General features: G+C 42.0%; 2 long non-coding RNA genes across 3 annotated transcripts in view, besides 1 other annotated feature; one reads left to right on the plus strand and one right to left on the minus strand.

The window, feature by feature from the left end:
* The window catches only part of LOC107985255 (uncharacterized), a 313,794-nt gene that overhangs the window by 274,697 nt on the left and 18,710 nt on the right, over positions 1–20,387 (minus strand). The gene's annotated exons all lie outside the window — the stretch shown is intronic.
* LOC105372895 (uncharacterized) lies at positions 9,123–20,313 on the plus strand. Its single transcript, XR_001738440.2, has 3 exons — positions 9,123–9,569; positions 13,275–13,382; positions 16,957–20,313. It is a non-coding gene; the product is annotated as an uncharacterized LOC105372895 (long non-coding RNA).
* Positions 13,511–13,560: an enhancer, noted in NCBI's record as "active region_2465". NCBI's record gives its function as "activates an Ori minimal core promoter by ATAC-STARR-seq in GM12878 lymphoblastoid cells {active_cell/tissue: GM12878}" and the evidence as "EXISTENCE:reporter gene assay evidence [ECO:0000049][PMID:35858748]".

Below are 20,387 nucleotides of genomic sequence, written 5' to 3' on the forward strand. Positions count from 1 at the left end.
TTACCCTAAACAAAGGGAGATGGGTGGATAACAAGGATTTTTCATGGTACTTCCAGCTCTAAAAGTGTACTATACAATGCTGCCTTAGATATTCAGTGTATATTGGTGTGTGCATGCATAAATATGTTGTTAATAATGTGGGTTGAACAAGAGAGAGGTGGACGCTACAGAGTTGACAGATTATTTCATCTAGTTAAAACAGCAGAAGTCTGAATGATTTATGGGAATTCTTCAGAGTGTATAATGCTTATTAATTTAATAAAAATGGTTATTGCTTATAATAATGGAAACTACTTAATAAAAATAAGATGGAAATATCCTTAAAGTAATAATTTGATTTCAGCTCTGATTCTTCTCATGTTAACTTCTCTGGCCAAAACTCAGTTTCTAACACTAGTGCTACCATTTGACTCCACCAGAGGGGTCTACTCTGAGCCCCACAGTTTAGCAGGCTCCTCTCTGTCCTACTCTTCCAACTGCTCTCCACTCCATGGAATGAAAAGTCCATGGGCAGAAAGGACATGCCTACCCAGTGACTGTGGTTTCCCTCCCACCTCATCCATCTAGACCACACTCAGAGTACCTAGACCCCACAATCCCCTGCCCAATCAGCTTGGAGTTCACTGCCAGCAGCTAGGTAGGTTTTCTCCCAGGTCTTTCTGTTTTCCCATGCCTCAGATTGAGGGGAAGAAAGAGGTTTAGTGATGAAGATTGGACACAGCTTGATTATACAGACTGTGGCCTTCACATGCATGCTCACTGAGGCCCTTGTGATGCAACTCACAGACAGCAGTGGGAAGAAAAAGAAGGGTCATAGGTCAGGGACCAGGTGTCCCCATGTCCCCATGCTACCACGTTCAGCAACAGAATTCTGAGGAGTCTAAGAGTTCTGCATGCACACTGGGGAGTAAGGCTGTTATAAATGTCAATGTAGACATTTAGAACATAACTTATTTAACAGTTAGTTGGTTTGATTTAAAATGTTTAAATAGGTAGACATATGGAATATGAGCCTCCATTTGGTACTTTTGCCTTGGGGTTCTGTAACCATTAGGAGCAGGCCTGTTCAGAACCAGTAGACAGGTTGAGGGTGTTTACTTGCTATAGGCAATGTACCTCAGCCTGGGCTTACATAGAAATGTCTGAAGTGCACCATCTCTGTGCCATTGACTCCCTTCCTGTTATTGAATGCAAGAATTTAGACCATGATTTTCAATGCTCTGAGTCCCTTCTATTTATCATTCCACTTAATTTAAAACAAAATAAGTGGAAGGATTCTCATTATAAACTCTGATTAGTGGTATATTTAATATATACTGACCTTAATTTTCTACCACAGAGATTAGTTTAGGAGAAAGCCAAGTCTAGCATGAAAAGATTGGGGAAGGGAGGTGTTTTCAAATGAGTTCAAAAAAAAAAAAAAAAAAACCATTAAAAGTAATTTTGAGCTGTACCAGTTAAATTGCTAGCCAGGAAAGGGGGCAAATAAGTCAAACAGAAAACAAGCAGATAATGAAGTACTTGGAGAATTTATAGGATACAACATTTACCAGAAATAGAAAAAATACATAGGTAAAAAAATAAAAGCAAGGCCTATTCAGCTTCGTAAGGCCAGCTTTGATTAGTTCTCAGGCTTTCCACTGGAGAGAGAGAAAGGGGTGTGTGTGTGTGTGTTTGCACGTGTGCACACGCAGGCGTGTGTAAGGATGAAAAGGGCACGGGGGGAAAAGTCCCTGCAAACAGCTCCTTGTTGTTTGCAGAAAGTAACCTGACCCATCAGGTTATCCCCCGTGGTGGTCATATTTTCATCTAGCTCCCTTATTGGGAAACAAAATATATCTCACAAGACATTCTCAGCCTCCCTAGAACTTCTGGTGTCATCAATTTGCCTTCAGAGTCCTGCAGGGTTAAGAAGAAAGTGTGGAAGTCTTGCTACAGCAGAGAGATTTAATGATTAACTGTGGGGTTGACAGGTGTCCAGAACACCCAGTAATCTTGACATTTTGATGTCAAAATAAACTTACTGGAAGCAGGTATGTGGGTTTAAAAGACATGTCCATATGGTGTCTGCTTATTTCACATGAGGAGTCATTTTTATGATCTATAGTGCGTTTCCAAAATACTTAAGCCATGACTCAGAGACCCACTCAGACTGGGCAGACCAGTGCCAGTAGCCCACAGGCTGGGAGCAGGTCCCTGGCTGGGCTAGATCAGGGAGGACAGGCAGAAAGCCTTTAAGTGCTGCAAGATCCTGTGTTCTACCGGCCTCATGGGGCATTTAAAAAACATGACACATCTCATTAAAATCAACTTTAATTTGGTGGATATAAGATTTTGCGAATGCTATTAATCCACTCAACCACTGAGTGTAATACAGTGGGAAAGCACCAGGCAGGGATCAGGAGACTTGGCCCCATCCAGCTGAGTAGGTCACTTGCCTTCCCCACCCCGGCCACCTACCTAGGGCTAACTTTAGATGACACTGAGGCATGCCCCAGGAATTGAAAAATGAGGGAAACAAGAACAGTTGTTGAAAATGATTAATTTCACACAAAGTATATCAGAGTAGAAATCTTTAAAATGGTCTGAAAGGGAGTCTAATTTCCTGGATAGTGTCCATTTAAAAGATGAGCAATGAAAATATAGAACACAGGGAAACAGAGCCGTCCATCTGAGTACTGCTCAGTGGAGAAAGCGCTCTGAAGGGTTAATGGGGGTTTGAGGCACCTGGCAGGTGGACCCCTGTGTAGGGAGGCGCTGGGCAATATTAAACCTGGAAGACCCACAGACACTTCCTCCTGAGGCTAAGCTCCACAAGAACCCTCCTAATTACTAGTTGGCTTCTCATGTAGCTTATCTAGAGGAAGAAATTATGTTGGCCAGAAAATGCAAGTGTAGTGTCACCTTGGAAGTTCTAGCTGAAATTGTGCGCTAGGCTGGGTGTGGTGGCTCACACCTGTAATTCCAGCACTTTGGGAGGTCAAGGCAGGCAGATCACCTAAGGTCAGGAGTTCAAGACCAGCATGGCCAATATGGTGGAACCCCCTCTCTACTAAAAATACAAAAATTAGCCAGGCGTGGTGGCACACGCCCATATTCCCAGCCACTAAGGAGGCTGAGGCAGGAGAATTGTTTAAGCCTGGGCGTTGGAGGTTTCAGTGAGCAGAGATTGCGCCACTGCACTCCAGCCTGGGTGACTGAGTGAGACTCCAACTCACAAAAAAAAAAAAAAAATTAAAAAATTGTGTGCTAATAAAAATGTTAGTCTCTTGTAAATTTTTTCTGACTTTACCATTTACTAGCTGGTGTCCTTGGGCATGTTACTTTCCTCTAAATCTCAGATTCCTCATCTATACAAGGGAAAATACAACCTCACCATTCTCCTGGGTTTGCTGTGAGAGCTTAGTGATTAAAGCATGTATTTAGCACAGTGCTGGGCACATAGTATTGTCCAATAAATGTCAGCTAGTACTGTCACTGTGTTCTTTTCCCTTCCTCTTTTCTCTTCTGCCTGCTTCTTATCTTTCCACCCATGTACGCTCCACCTGTCTACTCACTCATCTACCCAGCCCAGCCAGCCAGCTAACCATTCAAGTAAATTTAGCAGTCATTTACCATCCAGTAAAATGTTTTAGGGACCAGGGAATGGGCTAGACACTGAAGCTTCAAAGATAAATTATACATAGTTCATTTCCCCAAGGGCTCACTCTCTTCCAAACACTGGAGGCTGCCATCCTCTAATATAAAGAACATGTAATAGGTGCAGCTGTATTGAACACTTTGATGTTATTATCGATGGTGAGTATCAGTCTCCCTGGTGAACTCTAGGATACAGATAAAATTGAGTCTCTGAACCTGTAAAGCTGAGGGATGATCTCCAAACCTTAATGAATCAGCAGTCTTATTAAGCCTTTTAGAAGCCAGGCCTCTCGTGGTGACATTCCTCTGTATTTCCTTTTACTATGATTCCTCCGTGACAACTTCTACACTATGCATTATGATTCAAAATGTTTGCACATGACAAAATCTGGCTTTAGTAGAATATTTGATGTTGGTACCATAACCCTTTAGGCCAGACTGTCCAAGTCCTATGGATAACATATTTCCAAATGTCTATTATTCCCCTTATGTAAGTTTTCCCTTAACACTATTTTCATCCCTGCCATCCCTGGCCCCCTGCCCAGGAGATTAGAAACCATAACACAGCATCTATTCACTATAAGGTGCTGTTGGGACTGAGAGCATTTGCCTTCCTGCAACGATATTAACAAACTCAAAAGTCCTTGAAGAAAAATGTTTCAGTGGTCACCACCTTTACTCGTGTTTCCACCTAGACTCTCTGAAAGACAGGGTGGGAAGAGTTTTCCACAACTATAAATGGATTTGAAAACTCAGTGAAGAAAATTATCTGTCTCTATGGAGAGCCAGGGTGACATGACAGATAATTAGCAGGACGACCTGTTTCTCTGAGATGGGAAGCTTAGCCATATCAAGGACTTAAAGCCCCCAGTCCTTCTTATATCCCCTAGTGAATTCATTCTCTGCAAACAACCAGCTCTGCCAACTGATAGTGACTTTCACCTTGAATCCTTCAAAGTCACCTTTCTTTGAAAATCCCTTCACTATGACACAGAATAATAATAGCTTTGCTAACTTGGCTGCAGTTCATAGGATATGTTGGGTTGGAAGTGAGTTGAAACCCAGAAGAACTGACCTGTCCAACAGGATCAAGCCTTGAATATGGATGTGCCTCATATACTGTCTTTCTTCAAGGGCAATTACTCATTTTCTCCTTTAGAGTATAGAGCCTGAGCAACTAGAGAGTTTTCCTGATATATATTTAAGTGGATAGAGAGTTTAGGGCAAAGTGGGAGAAATGCTTCTCCACTGGTATATTATGCTGAAATATTTTTTGTTGATGTGCAGTGGTGCTTTGTGTAAGAGGAAAAGAGAAATATGTGCTGAACAGGGCAATGGCTTAACAAAGGGGCAAGTTACCCAATCTATTTCCTGAGACCTGGGCTGATGGCTACTGAATTTCAAGGGTGTTATTACTTGTAATCCACAAATGCTCCCCTTGACTAGCCTTAGGGGCCTGTTTTTAAAATAAGCCTCTCAGAGTAAATTGGCATAAGTAGAAAATTTGCCCTTAACTTTCCTTCCCAGTAGGCAGTAATTTCACTTAAATTTCCCATAGTTTTTACTTACATATTAACCAGTTATCAGGCTCGAGGAGGAGGAAAAAGCTTCCAGAGAACTTCACAGGAGAGGCCCAGGGTAAAGGAGAACCAGGAGATCCACCAGAATGGAGAAGCTTGAGAGGACAAGCCCCTGCCACCGAAGAGCTGCCACTGATTCCGAAAACTGAATTTAAGCTGATTCTCTTGAGCAGTTCCCAATCCTTTTTCCTTACTGTTCAGTCTTGTTCCAGAAGTAGCAGACAAGAGAGTGCCAGTGTGTCCTTTCCTATCTCAGTATGCTTTAGGACATCTCACTTCATCAAAATAGCATAGGCCTCATGTAGCTCAGAGGGCTGAAACTGGCATGCGGCAAATCAGGTGAAGAATTGGTGCCATTCAGGTGTCTGCTTGATGCCCAAGCCATAAACATAGAGGGTTTCATCTCCGCCAGGCACAGCCTATAAATAGGGCTGGCTATCTCTTTCCTCCCTATCTCTCCACCTTAGTTTTCTTCTGACTCTTTTTTCCCAATAACAGTAATAATAGCTAACATTTACTGAACACAGTTCATGTTAAATGTGTGCTGAGCACCCGACTTACTACTTCATTTAATATACCCAAATCCTATAAATGCTATCATTTTCATCATCATCATCGTTATCATTAAGAGGTTTACGGACTTGCATAATTACATGGAAGAGTTAGGGTTTGAATCCAGGTAGTTTGATTCAACGTTCACATATTTTACCATCTCACCAGTTCACCTTAGCTCTATGTAGAATGTTGAGTCATGAGAAAAAGGGAGCAGTTTAATTATTCTGGAAGATGTAGGTTTGTTTAAAGCATCGGGTTTTGTGGTAATAAGCTAGAGGAAAGTCAACTGAATTGCAGCATGAAAAATGTAGGTTAGCAATAAAGAAGAACTTCTTGAAGGCAAAGAATATTTAAAATTGCCATTCCATTATCTTTTTGGATCGGTATAAGTCATGAGAAACAACATTAATACATATGTTTTCAGAGTTGTTTAGGTAGTCACTCCTAAAGCAGAAAATCAATCACCGGCACTTTCCAGACACATTAGATTATTGGTGAATGAATTTCTGGTATTAGTGTTTCCGGCTCTGTCCTTTCACAGCACACGCAGGGAAGTACTCCCTTAGCCCATTAGTCTGCCACTTTTTCTCATTCATCTCTGTGCTTTTGGTTGACTGAGAATTCTTAACAAATAGAATGGCTTCCCCTAACTGCCAGTTCACAGATCAATTGGTAGTGGCTGCCTCTATTGCTGAACCGAGAAGAACTGGCAAGCCAAAAGAACGCAGGCTCTATTTCCTCTGTCTGCCATGGACCAAGGAAGAGTGCATTTGCCAACTGTGCGGAGCATAAGTTGCCTCCTTTATAATGTGCAGAGAGCAGATGATGGGGCAATGAACACGAAAATGAGTTGGGGGCCTGAGGCAGCATGTTGGTGGAGTGTGGAGGGAAGAGCTTTGGGAGCCAGACAGACTTGTGTTGAAATCCCTCTAAATCACAAATTAGCTCTGTGACCTTGAATAAATTATTGAAGCTTCCTGAGCCTCAGTTTCCACATCTTAAAAAGCATCCATTTATAGCTACAAAAAAAGGCGTGCAATGAAAGTGACTATTTATATCGTTTTTTAAAATAAATGTCCTTGCCTGATTTTAATCATAATCTGAACTCATTTTATGTTTCTCTATGTATTACTAAATTCCTCCCTCTGTTGTAGTCAAGCTGGGCCACTCAATGTGGTACTTTTTTGTTGCTTTATCTAGAATATTTCTCTCACCCCACAAAATCCCCTCCTACTATCCTCTAAATTCCATATTGTCTAAGAAACTTTCCCTCGAAGAGTCTCACCCACCTCTCGCCCTTTTAAACTTCAAAAACACACAAGATTCTTTGTAATCCAGCCTCCATTCACTTCCCCAGGCTCATCTCCTGCCACACACCTTCCAATTTAGGCATCAGAAATGCCAAATCACTTACAGTTCCAAAAGTTACTATGCTGCTTTTTGTGTCTGATTTTTGGAACTGGTTTCTTCGTCTAAAATGCGTGTCGACTGGTGAACTCCTACTCATCCTGAACTTCTTGTAAGTGGTGTCACCTCCTCTACATAAAGCATCCCCTGAAGTCCTCTCCCTCTGGCCTACCAAAACTCATTACCCATATTTCTGCGTTAATTTGGCAGCTTCTGCATTTGTTATCATTGCCTTCATCATACAATGTTATAAATCACTTATTCACATCTATCCAGATATAAACTCTTCGAGAGTAGGAGCAATGTAGTATGTTTTTGTTGTTGTGATTTTTTGGTTTTGTTTTGTTTTTTGAGATGGAGTCTCCCTCTGTTGCCCAGGCTGGAGTGCAGTGGTGTGATCTCAGCTCACTACAACCTCCGCCTCCCAGGTTCAAGCAATTTTCCCTACCTCAGCCTCCTGAGTAGCTGGGATTACAGGCACCTGCTACCACACCTGGCTAATTTTTGTGGCTTTTTTTTTTTTTTTTTTCAGTAGAGACAGGGTTTTGCCATGTTGGCCAGGCTGGTCTCGAACTCCTGACCTCAGGTGATCTGCCCACCTAAGCCTCCCAAAGCAGTGGGATTACAGGCGTGAGCCACTGCACCCGGCCTGTAGTGTGTATTTTTTATGGCCAGGCTGTAGTACAGTGCTTGGCATACATTAAGGAGGGGCTCAAAAACATTTGAAGACTTGACCTAAATATCACACATATCTGAAATGCTATTTTGCTTTTGATTATATATTCTCTTAGTCTGTTCTTATGCTTATCTGTCTAGACTTCTCAATAGGTTGTAAGTACGTTGGAGGCAGAAGCAGCCTTGGTTTATACTTGAATCTCCTAGAGGGTGAGCATTTACTAGATAATTGTCAGGTGAGATGATGCAATAGATAAGAGGATGGAAATGGATTTGCAGCAAGAAAGCGAGTGGATCCCTACCCCTCACAATCATGAGGCTGGCAACAACTCTTCCAAACACACAGAAAAAAACACACAGGGCTGACCATACATTTGTCCTTCCTAGACAGCCTGGAGATCTTATTGATAAGGTCAAATTCATACTTTTGGATAGATCAGGAGTAGAAAGAAAGCACACGTTCCGAAGTTTAATTCAATTTTTATAAACCTCTCCCTAATTCCCTCTTAAAGGCCATTGTATAGCCCACTAGGGAAAGGTATTTTGCTTTCAGCAATTACACATATTTTGCAAGTGCTAATCGTTCTGCAGGAAAAAAAAAAAAGAAGGCAGAAGGGGAAAAGAAAAACAAAGAAAAGTGAGAGAGGGGAGAGCTGGTTTGAAGGGATTTTATCTAATTTCATTTTAATTAGATCCTTTTTCTAACTGAGTTTCTAATTTTTCAATTAGCAATTAGCAGCTGCAACTCATTCTGAGCATCACGAGGTGCCAACGACACTAATTACACCACAGGAGTAGGAGGCTGGAAATGAGAAATAAAATTATCCATGAATGTTATTAGAAGAAAGGAATGATTACTCTCCGTAATAATATACTGATGTGAGCCTAATTAGATTGAAGGATTCAGAGGGAAAAAATGAGATTTAAAAATGGATCACATTTAGATGCCTTGAGGTCATAATTTTGCTATAAATATTACTTTAGAACATCACACTTGAAAACAGGTTTGCAAGCTTGATGATGTTTATGTCAGGTTGTTCAGCAATGACCCACATCCCTAGTATACAATAACCCAAAACATCAATGACTTCTGAAATACCAATACTCTTCCTGTAAAACGTGTCTGAGATTTCAAAAATAAGCACTCATGCACATGCACAGAAATAAACAATGCAATGAAAATAAGACCCAGGCACTGGGAAATACCGAAGCCAAGATGCCATTTTTGGCATCGTAAATCAGGGGTGGAGTTTTTAGCCACGAAATGAAAAGCCATGTGTCTGTAGTTTCCCATCTGTTGGTTCAATTAGTTTCCTTCCTCCTATGACAGTGTCAAGCCTGTGACTGTGTTTCAGGGAAGACAGGTGCAAGCTGATGGCTCCCCATATCTAGAAGCTGCTGATTTGAAAAACACTCTAGTCAAGAAAAATGTAGCTTTCTATTAGCAAAGCAGCCACACAGACCATCCATACTCTCAGAGAAGAGCTAATTTTCTGGCTGTGGTCACAGGCAATCAAAACTATCATATTGATCCTCAAGAGCGATTCCTAATTAGCTACAGAGTAATCTCCTAGATTTCCCCAAGGCCAGAGTGCCTGACCGTGGCATTAGTGGGCTGGACAGAACCACTAGCCCTGACCCCAGGCCCCTGTGCCACGTACCACGGAGGAATTGGACCAGGATGAGTAAACACTCTGGGAACTTCTGTGCACAGTAAGTTGCTTCCTCGCAGAAGGAGATAATACCATTTCCCCCCCTTATCCTCCTTTACTCCTTCTTATCTTGGGAGAAAGGTAAAAAGTTTTGAAGGAAAGCATAAAATTCAGCAAGCAAGTTAAGTCCAGGCATCTGCCTCACCTTCCGATAAACTTCCTGAAAATCTTCCCTCAATTCTCCTGTCTCTTCTCATTCCCTCCCGGCTTTTCCCGTTTCTTAATGATTTCAAAATGCCTTGACCCATCTTCTGAGCTCTATCCTGGCAATTTTGACTGTATTTGCAGCAGTTTCAGCGGTTGGTTCTATCAGCACCTTCAAATCAGTATCACATTTATTTTGCTCCCTATTTGCACCCCAACATGCCCCTCAAGCTGCACTCTTGTCAATGACTGGCCATCCTCCCAGGTGCCCAGACTCCTATTATTGAAGTAATCTTTGATTCCTCTCTTCTCCCCTTATCTCCAGCTCCTGCTAGTTCTGCCCAGCATTTCTCCCACAATGCTTCTTTTCTTCACATCTGATGCCCCTGGGTAGGTGTCCCTTGTTTCTTACTTTAGCTTCCTAACTAATCCCCCCCCGACAAATGCCTCCTACCTTATACCTCCAGCTTTGTCTTCCTGCAAAACTGCCTGGATCGTACTATTCCCTGCTTGGACTAGTCAGTGTTTGCTGTGGAAAAAAGCTGAAACTCCCAAGTTTCCATGTATGTTCTTGCTTCAGCCTACATTTTGGATATGATATTTTCCTTTTCTGATTAAATATCCTATGTTATAGCTGAACGAATGTATACGGTCATTGCCTTACTCATGCTGCACCCTTTAGCTGATATTCCCACACATATTTCCAGAGAGTCAAATCCTATCCATTCTGGAAGATCCAGCCCAATGATGGTAATATTCCTAATCTTCCTTTGCATGCATATAGGATTTTTAATTTTCAAAGCAAGTTCACATCTATGGAGTTTATTTAAGCCTCATAAGAGCCCCAAGAAAAGCAGGATAAATAGGCATTCTTGGCCCCCTTTTATAGAGGAGGAAACTGAGACACAGGCAGGATCGGTGAAGTGCCTGGTAATCAAGGGTAGACCAGACACACACCTGCTGATTTTCAGCAGCTGCTCTTTCCTTCAAGCATTGGCAACGCTCAGAGCATGCTTGGTTTTGCTCTGCAATCACTTGGATGGAGTCTTGCAGTCAAACAACTGCCCTCCTGATGGAACCTGGAAAAATTGATGAGCTCCCATTCCTTGGGCGGCCTATCTATCTTTATATATCTCAGCACATTTGCCACTAATTATATTTCTCTTTATAATGTGAGATCTCCCGTTAAGTAAGGTAATTGATGACCCCTGAAAAATATCACTAATTCCAGAATGGCCCAGAAGTATTTTGTCATGCTGTTTCCTTTTCCATTTCTCCACCCCTGGTGTTAGAATGATTAAGATGCCACATGCATCAGAGGAAGAAAACAGTATGAAAGGCCAAAAAGGATAGTGTCTGTATATATTAGAAGAGGGAGAGTTTTAGGGAAGAAAGTTAGTACTTTATTTTATTTTTAAGACAGAAAAAGGCAAAAAAAAAAAAAAAAAAACCAAAACAAACAAACAAAAAACTAACAACCTCTCTGAACTTTAATTTCCTCTAAAAAATGAGGGTTCTAATGGTATATGTATCTTGCAAAGTTGGCATGTGAATCACAACAAATGTGATAAAAGATATGCATATACTTTTATTTTGTAATATAATGCATTATACAAATTTTTGAAATGTATAATGGTTTCATTTATACATAGATATAGACATAGATATGTGTATGCATATATTTGTATGCACACACAATGAATATGAATGTGCATGCATATTGCATTATATGCTTAAGAGAGCCTAACCCCCTCCACACACTGGGGCTTCCTTTTTTCAAGCCCTATCTTTATCCAGGTGGGAAAATGCCTCAAAAGCCTTAAGTCAGATCAAGCAATGATCACCAGTTAATGCACAGAAATAACTAAATGGGACTCATGTTCCTCTTGTTTCTGGGCAGGGTGGAGGAGGAAGAAGTCTTTAATCTTCTGAGTTGTGCCTTATTAGGCAGCAGAGAGATGCTCTCTGACTTGGCACGTGGCCTGTGATCTTCCAGGATGAAAAGTTCTGTCTGAATGCAGGCAGGGATGATTTGCTAATCAAGGATGAGACAGAGCAAGTGGCATGCCCAACAGGACAGGGACAGCCAGGCTGAGGCCACCCCCTTCCTATTGATTTATATTTCTATTCACTGTTCTGAAATGTGGAGAGCTCATAACCCTCCGGAAAGACCGTTTCAGCTGCTGGTGGGGAGTTAGTGTTTCAGGAATGAGGGTGGTGAGGAGAAGCCTTTGCTCTGAAACTTATGTGGTCTGGAAACTTCAGGATCTTATCTTCCTCCTTCTCTTCTCTCCTCCTCCTTGTCTTTCCTCTCCTCCTCTTTTTCCTCCTTTTGCTGTCAGTTGCCTAAGGGAAGGGATCTTGGCCTTAGCTGCTAAGTTGCCAGGGTTGTTCAGGGAAGGCTAAAAGATGCAGGAGGCAAGAGGAAGCCCAAGGCCTTTCTTGTCTCATCAGTCTTTCCGGGTCCTGGGCTGAGGCAGACAGGATGGCTCGGTGAGCTTGTGACAACATTCCAGGCCTGCAGCTCGGATGGCAGCTGTCCATGGCAGGCCAGACTTTGGAATATCTCACTAGAACCTTGCTTGTCTCACAGCCCCCACCCCGAAGCTAACACCCTTTTGTCTCCAGCTGGTCCTTGGCCCCCTGCTGTTCTCATTTGTGATTTTATTTTCCCTGAATGCAGGGAGTTACTCAGAGCTGGGCTCTTGTCCAACTGGTCCTGCACGATCTTTTTCTTCCCCGGGATGCTAGCTCCTCTTCTTGAGGATTCTTGCTGGGTCTGCCTTCCCTCTCTCCATCTGGTGCTGTACGCCCGCTGAGTGGGCCCTGCAGGGCTGGAGTTGGCTAGGCTGGGCAGCCAGCAAGCCAGCAAAGCCCCTACAGCCGTGAACCGGGAATCCAGGATGCCTACTCTGCCAGTCTATGTCAAAAAGACAAAACACCTAGAGAGGTTTAAAAACATTCAGGAGAAGAAAAAGCAAGCGCACAGCATGAGAGAGCTTTGTCCAGCCAGCACTTTTACTAGCAATAAATCTGCCTTAAAATGTATAAGGATATACAGAAAAAGAAAATTGAGCAAATCACTTTGGTGGAAACCCATTTCTCCCGCACTCGGCCATTTCTCTGCATCAGCTCTTCACTCTCCCAGGGAGAGCTCCCAGCCAAGTAAGACAACAGTGTAAACAAAAGTCACCCCAGGCCCAAAACCAAGTTTCCTGCAGGGCACTGTCTGCTGCGGCTGGCAGAACCTACTGGGTTTCTGGCTTTGTGCTGACCTTTGCAAGTGTGCTTCAGCTGGAAAAATCAGACCTATCTATCTATCTCCATGTTGAAGACCCCCCCCGGGTTCAGGCTATACAGGGTGGACAAGGTCCAAGTGTCTCATCCTTCCTGATCCTGAGGACGGTGGTGGTTTCTGGAGGAGTCCAAAGTGATCCCAGCCATACTGCCTGGGAATGATTGCTTACCACCCAGGAACAGAACCTGGGGTCTATTCTCTGCAGCTGGATCTATGGAGGTCAGACGAGTCTGCTATAACATATTTTGTTATGTGAAATTGTAGCACGACAAGCTGCAGACAAAACTCCTCAGACACGGAGTCAAAGAAGGAAGAGGTTTATTCGGCCGGGAGCATCGGCAGGACTCCTGTCTCAAGAGCCAAGCTCCCCAGGTGAGCAATTCCTGTCCCTTTTAAGGGCTCACAACTCTAAGGAGGTCCGCGTGAGAGGGTCATGATTGATTGAGCAAGCAGGGGGTACGTGACAGGGGCCGCGTGCACCGGTGGTCAGAGTGAAACAGAACAGACCGGGAAGTTTTACAATGTCTTTCTATAATCTATAAATAACATCAGTTGCTAAGTCAGGGGTCGAATTTTAACTACCAGGCTTAGGTCAGGCAGGCCCAGGCCTGGTTTCAGGTCTGGTTTTCAGGTCTTGGTTTCGGGTCTGGTTCCTAGGCGCCAGCCTACCTGCCTTTAGTTTTGCTTCTCTTGCCTTTTCTGAGGATAAAACAACATGAAAGGGTCTGTCTCTCTTCTCTCAAAATAAGCCAGGCACAGAAATACAAATACTGCATGGTCTCACTCATATGCAGAATCTAAAAAAGTTGATCTTGAAGGAATTCAGAAAATGCCGCCCCAAAATGTATTGTTTTAGACTTAAAACTGAGGGCACTTAGGAATAGTAAATGCAGAAAGGGGCTTCCTCTGAACTTCCTTAATGTACCTAAAGACAGATCCTCCAAGAGGAGCACAACTGTCATGAATGCCCTCCCAGGGAATCTCATCAACCAAGGAAGATTAAACTCAGATCACAGCAGAGGAGCCGGGAGGTTGATGCCAGGACCAGACAGACTTTGTCACAGGCTGTCACCTACTTCTCTGGAGGGCTATTCATCTTTAATTATTTATTTATTTTTAATTTTTTTTTAGAGACAAGGTCTCTCTCTTTCTTCCAGGCTATGGTGTGGTGGTGCAATCATAACTCACTGCAACCTTCATCTCCTGGGCTCAAAGAATTCTCCCACCTCAGCCTCCCAAGATGGGACTACAGGTGCACACCACCATGCCTGGCTGATTGTTTAATGTTTTTGTAGAAATAAGGTCTCACTATGTTGCTCAGGCTGGTCTCAAACTCCTGGCCTCAAGCAATCCTCCTACCTCAACCTCCCAAAGTACTAGGATTATAAGTGTGAGCCATTATGCCTGGCTCCATTCACCTTTTCCAAAAATCACTTAAACTAGGCTAAGTCGCTTACATCCCCCATGCCTTCTCTCCTACAAAGAAGGTGTATACTCTTCTAGATCTCACTGGGATTTGGGGTATTCTCTTTTCCTTCATGTGATGCCCCCATGCGTGTAATACCTTTGTATCATAGTCCCCCCTTACCCACAAGGAATACATCCCAAGACCCCCAGTGGATGCCAGAAACTGTGAAGAGTATTGAACCCTATATATTCTATATATTTTCCCATACAGTAATGGGCAGGTAGCATCTACAGTATGAATACACTGGACAAAGGGATGATTCATGTCCCTATCAGGACAGAGTGGGATGGCACAAGGTATCATCATGCTACTCAGAATGGAATGCAATTTCAAGCTTAAGAATTGTTTATTTCTGGAATTTTCCATTTGATGTTTTGACTGAGGTTAACAAACTGCAGAAAGAAAAATCAAAGATAAGCTGGAACTACTGTGTACTTTTTCTCCTGTTACTCTGCCTACTGTCTGTTTATTTCATAGACTCAAATATTGAACCCTCAGAGGGTAGAGAGTCTTCCCTGTGTCTAGAATGGTGATTACCAGGAAGTTGAGAATAGAATGGTGGTTACCACGGGTGGAGCAGTGGTTGGGGAAGGGCTTGGGAGCTGTTATCAAAGGTTACAAGATCTCAGTTAGATAAGAGGAAGAAGTTCAAGAGATCTAGTGTACCAAATGGTGACTGTTGTTAATAAAACACATTGTATTCTTTAAAAATGCTGAAAGGGTAGATTTTTAGTCTTCTCGCCACAAAAATGACAATTATATGAGATAATGCCTAGGTTAGTTTGATTTAGCCATTCCATAATGTACATATTTTAAAGCATGATTATGTACATGATAAATATATACAATTCCATCTGTCAATTAAAAATAAAATAAAATATGTCTGCAATTCCCTTCAGGTATTCATCACTAGCTATGCAAAACTGGAATTTCATGTCCTTACACAATAAAGGCAATGTGCAATGGGCAATGCTTATCACATGTTTCTGAATGCAGAGCCCAGTGCTAATTTCTCAGGACAAGGCTCCTTACTCATCTGCTGAGCCCTTTACTCATTTACCTTTGTGATCATTTAGGCCACACCATTGGGCCCACATTGCTGTTTCTGCTACTCCAAGAAGATCAAGAGAGAGCCACCATAGCAGAATGAGATTCCAAGCCTTCTCATGCATCCCTCAGGGATCAGGCCTGGCCTTGGTCTCTAGAAAGCTCTTGCTGATTACTCTGGGAGTTTGAATCTCAGTGATCACAGTCTGCCCTGGCCTGATCCCAAGGGCACAAGCACACAGGAACCTGGAGGCAGATGTGTAACCTCAAAGAGAGTAATTATGTCCTAGCCAATAAATAAACAATCACTGGAACAATTAGTGCTCACCCCTTTGAAATTTGCATCTCACCTCAGAACAATCTTGCTCTTCAACCTTGTCAATACGTTGATATGTTATAAATAAGTGGTTTTACTGGGATGAGATGCAAGCTATCTTGAAGCTAACTAAGCATGACTAGAATACACTATCTCTCACGTCCCAGGAAGTTATTTGCATTCTGATACAAACTGATGCTAGATTCCTAAACCTAATCATGATCCTCAGCTGCAGTAAGGACCACTGACCTACTATGTTATTGTGAAATATATATTTGGACCTCTTTCTCCACATTTCCTGGCCCACACCTCCTAAAACCCTTGGGATCTCTGGAATAAGAAAAGTGATTTTTTGTATGCTAATGAGATGACTGGTGGCTGGCAACCCCTATATAGCTTTCAAAATACCAAGGCATGATTAGAGGATTGAGTTTTTAGCCCCACCACCCAACCTCCTGGCAGGAAAGAGAGGAAGAAGACTAAGTTGATTACTAATGGTCAATAATTTAATCAATCATGCCTGCATAATAATGCTTCATAAAAACCCCAAAGGACCTGGTTTGGCTAGCTTCTGGCTAGCTGAACATGTGGGGGCTTCTGCAGGCTGGTGCCCCCGGAAAAGGCATGGAAGCTTCAAGCCCCTTCCTTCATATATTACCCTAACATTTCTTCCACTGGCTATTTATTTGTATCCTTTGTAATATCCTTTATATTAAATAGGTTAAAGTAAGTACACTTTTTCCCTAAGTTCTGTGAGCCATTCTAGCAAATTAATTGAACAAGAAAGGGTCATGGGAATCCCTGATTTATAACAAGTGGGTCAAAAGTATAAAATGTCAATCTGCTACTTGCAACTAGCATCTGAAATTGGGGGTAGTCTTGTGGGACTCAGCCTTCAACCTGTGGAATCTGACACTTTCTCCAGGTAGATAGTGTCACAATTGAATTGCATTGTGGAGGATACCCAGCTAGTATCTGCTATGGAATTGCTTGGTTGGTGCGTGGGGAAAAACCCCCATGTGTTTTGGTGACCAGAGGCAAAGTGTTCTATGTTATAGTGACTGTGTGAGCGTAGAGAAAAACACTTTGTGTTTTTTTTTTCCTATGTCTTATAGACCCACTAATGGACTAAGTAATGTTTCTGTTGGTGACTCTAAGCAAGGAAAACAAATAAGGCAAAGAAGGAGGTAAAAGAGACAAGTAAGACATCTGAGAACCTGCAATGACTCTTGGGAAGACATCAAAGCAGAAAAAGAAAGAAGTGGCAAGTGACAAAAGAGGTGCAATGTTTTAAATGTTTGCCCCCTGCAAAACTCATGTTGAAATTTAATTCTGCCCTCATGGATGGATTTATGCATTATGTTGGGAGGGATTTTATGATATTGGGAGTGGGTTTGACCCCTCTTACTCTCTCTCACCCTTCTGCCTTCCACCATGAGACAATGCAGAAGGAAGACACCAACCAGATGCCAGACCCTCATCTTAAACTTCCCAGCTTCCAAAACTGTGAGGAAATAAATGTCCATTCTTTATAAATTACCTATTTTGTGGTATCCTGTTATATAGCTGCACAAACAGACTGAGACAGGAGGTATATGTCAGGGTGCAGTAGAGAACCATTCACTGCATTAGGGGGTTCCCTTCCATGGCACTTTTTGCCTGCTTTATTAATTTAATACAAAGAGATCAGGCACCAATTACAGGCAAGACCCACTAGTAATCTTCAGCAGTGGGATACAGAAATGAACAAGATGTATGGTTTCTGCTTTCAAATTGCATACAGTTCAGTTGGGGCTAAATTATAGACACAAATACTAATATTATAAGTTAGATTTTACTACATTCACCATAGAGGTAGGTTTTAGAATTTCAAAGGAGAGGTTCTTAGCCAGGGGTGGGAAATTTTATGGAGGAGCTGGATTTTGACAATTTTATCTATGCTAAATGAATGCCCTCTTTCCGGGAACTAAGGAATTTTACCTTTCTGGGGATTCATGGCAAGAAGATACAATCCTTGATCTCAGAAGACATTGTGATACACAATGACAGATACGTTGATAATGAAATGTAAAACTGCTTCCAGAAGCTTCTAGGTGTTAAGTTTGACCACATCATGCATCTCATTTCCACATTGTCTTCTATGTCTATATCTGGCCCCCTCCTCAACTATCCTAAGCATTTAGAGCATCTCCTTTCCCTATAAAAGCCATCATAGTTTATGTTTATGGCTATGTGTTTTGTTTCTGCAAATCTAATTGTTCCTTAAGAGTAAGGATTATGTCTCAGAGCCTCACAGGAAGGCACAAAGGAAGATGTCAGCAAACGCCATAGAACTATTAATTACTGACAATTCACATGCCACACTGTTAAATGAGGAAAGGGAGGAAGGAAGAGACCAGACCACTGAGGCATTAAGAGAACAAGGATCCAGCATGGATCAAGCAAATCCCACCACCCTTAGCTATGAGACCAAGTCCCAGCTCTGTCACTTGTTAGTTGTGTTGTCTTAGACAAGTCAATTTACTTCCTAAGAAGCCCTGCCCTCTTCTATAATAACATGTCTGTTGGATTTCATTCATTCCCAAATACTGAAGACAGTCTGCAACAAAATTTTCTGGGAAATTGTAAAATACAGATGAATAAGCCCACAGAGGGTGAGCCGAAATTTCTCTATTTATAAGATCTCTGAATGAATCTAATAAAGAGTGGTATCTGCAAATCAGAGGACTAATGCTCATGCTGTAAGATTCTTCCACCTGTTACATCAAGAACACTAACATTTCTTATTGTGATGTAGAAACAGGGTGATGGCCTTCTGAAAGCCAGCACGTAATGACAGCATGAAATATTTTACTTGTTAATTTTTTGTTTGTCTGTTTTTCAGATGTTTTTGACCTTCGTGGAGAAGAAGTTTGGTGGTGGGGCAGGAGCAGAAGTTAGAACTCGGGATTTCTTTGTTCACCTTGGCTGCGAAGCCACCCATATATGACCAGTGTTGAAACTCATTGCACCAGGCCAACCAATTAGTCTGTATTGGCCCCATAAACTTTGAGCTGACAAGTATCAAGTGAAAGGTTCTTGAGAATAAGACTGAAAAATCCTTCTTACTTCCCCCTACAAAAAAAATTCTCCAGCCCCAGAATGTTATTCCTTCCCAAGAAACACAAATTAACTAGCTGCACTAATGACCTCCAGACCAACACAAACCCATTTCCCCTTGAAATTAACCTTCTATTCTGAATCTAAACAGTGTCTAATTAGCCCCAAACACTGGTGAGCTAACTGGAAGAGAAGAATGTAGGAAATCAAAACAAGGGGATAGTTTTACGGTTGGAAAAAAAAAAATAGCGAAAAGCCATCCTCCAATTATCCTATCCTTCTAACCTCCGCCCCCAGATCCTTATCCTGCATCTTCATTTGTCTTCCTTTCCGTAAACCTTGTAAAGGAGTCTGCTTTTCAGACAAATATTTTTCCCAGCTCATTTGACACCTAGAAGGCAGGAAAAATATTGCCCATCACGATAAATATAATATTCCAATTTTCCAGCATTTGACAGCAATCAAGGGAAGAGTAATGTGTTCCCTCTGTGACTAAATCATTTAGAGACCAAGGTATTCTGTCTCATTCTCATTAGGAAAAAAAAATATTCCAATAATCTCATTATCCCAGTGTGAATAACAGTAAAAAAGCACCAAGACTAATGACTTCTTCCGCGCTTGCCTCCGCAGATACCAGCCCAGGCCGTGCTTTTATAGGCAATGCTTGGGTAATGGAGTCTCCCTTAGCAGCGATCCTGTAGCATCTGCTGCTCTGAAAGCCCTGCCTAACACATTCTGCTTTGTCTGCAGCAAGGTTTACACACACCCCTGGACTCCAAAGACTCTTTTTTATGTACTTTTTAAAAAACTAACTCCAATGGAAAAAGAATGTGTCATGGCATGTTAAACTTTATGGAAATTCTTCTGGAGAATAACATAATTTCACGGTGCATTACTCTGAAATGACCTAGTACTTGAACAATTAATTTTTAAGGTGTAGCATTGACTTCCCCTTGCTGTATTTAACCCATATCTGAAATTGTCAACAATGCCAAGGGTTGGACAATGAGTTGGGAGAAGAGCAGGAGCCTGAAAATTACTCCCTATCTACTATGTTTTCTTTTATCAGACATAATGCTTCCCTCTTTGGTTCAAAAATGAAAAGAGAAGGGAGCAGGTACTTTAGTTAGGGACACTTCATAGGCAGCACAGCCTGGCAGGTAAATAGTGCAGTCCTGGAGACATAAACTCGACGTCTTACCTTTGTCATTAATTTACTGTGTAGCCTTAGAGAAACTCCTTTTTCTCTCTGTAGCTAAAATGGGGGAAGGAGAGGTTTTGTTTGTTATGCCCCCAAAAGGAATTCAGTGATAGAAAATGAATAGATGTATAATATATCCTCTGATTCCTTGAAATAAAAGCTCTGAATGTTTTTTCTTTTTTTTTCTTTTTTTGCTGTCCTTTTTACACCTTATTTTTATCTCTACACTCTTGCATTCCTCACCTC

The sequence above is a fragment of the Homo sapiens genome, chromosome 1 (genome assembly GCF_000001405.40).
Source record: "Homo sapiens chromosome 1, GRCh38.p14 Primary Assembly".
NCBI classification, from domain to species: Eukaryota; Metazoa; Chordata; class Mammalia; order Primates; family Hominidae; genus Homo; species Homo sapiens.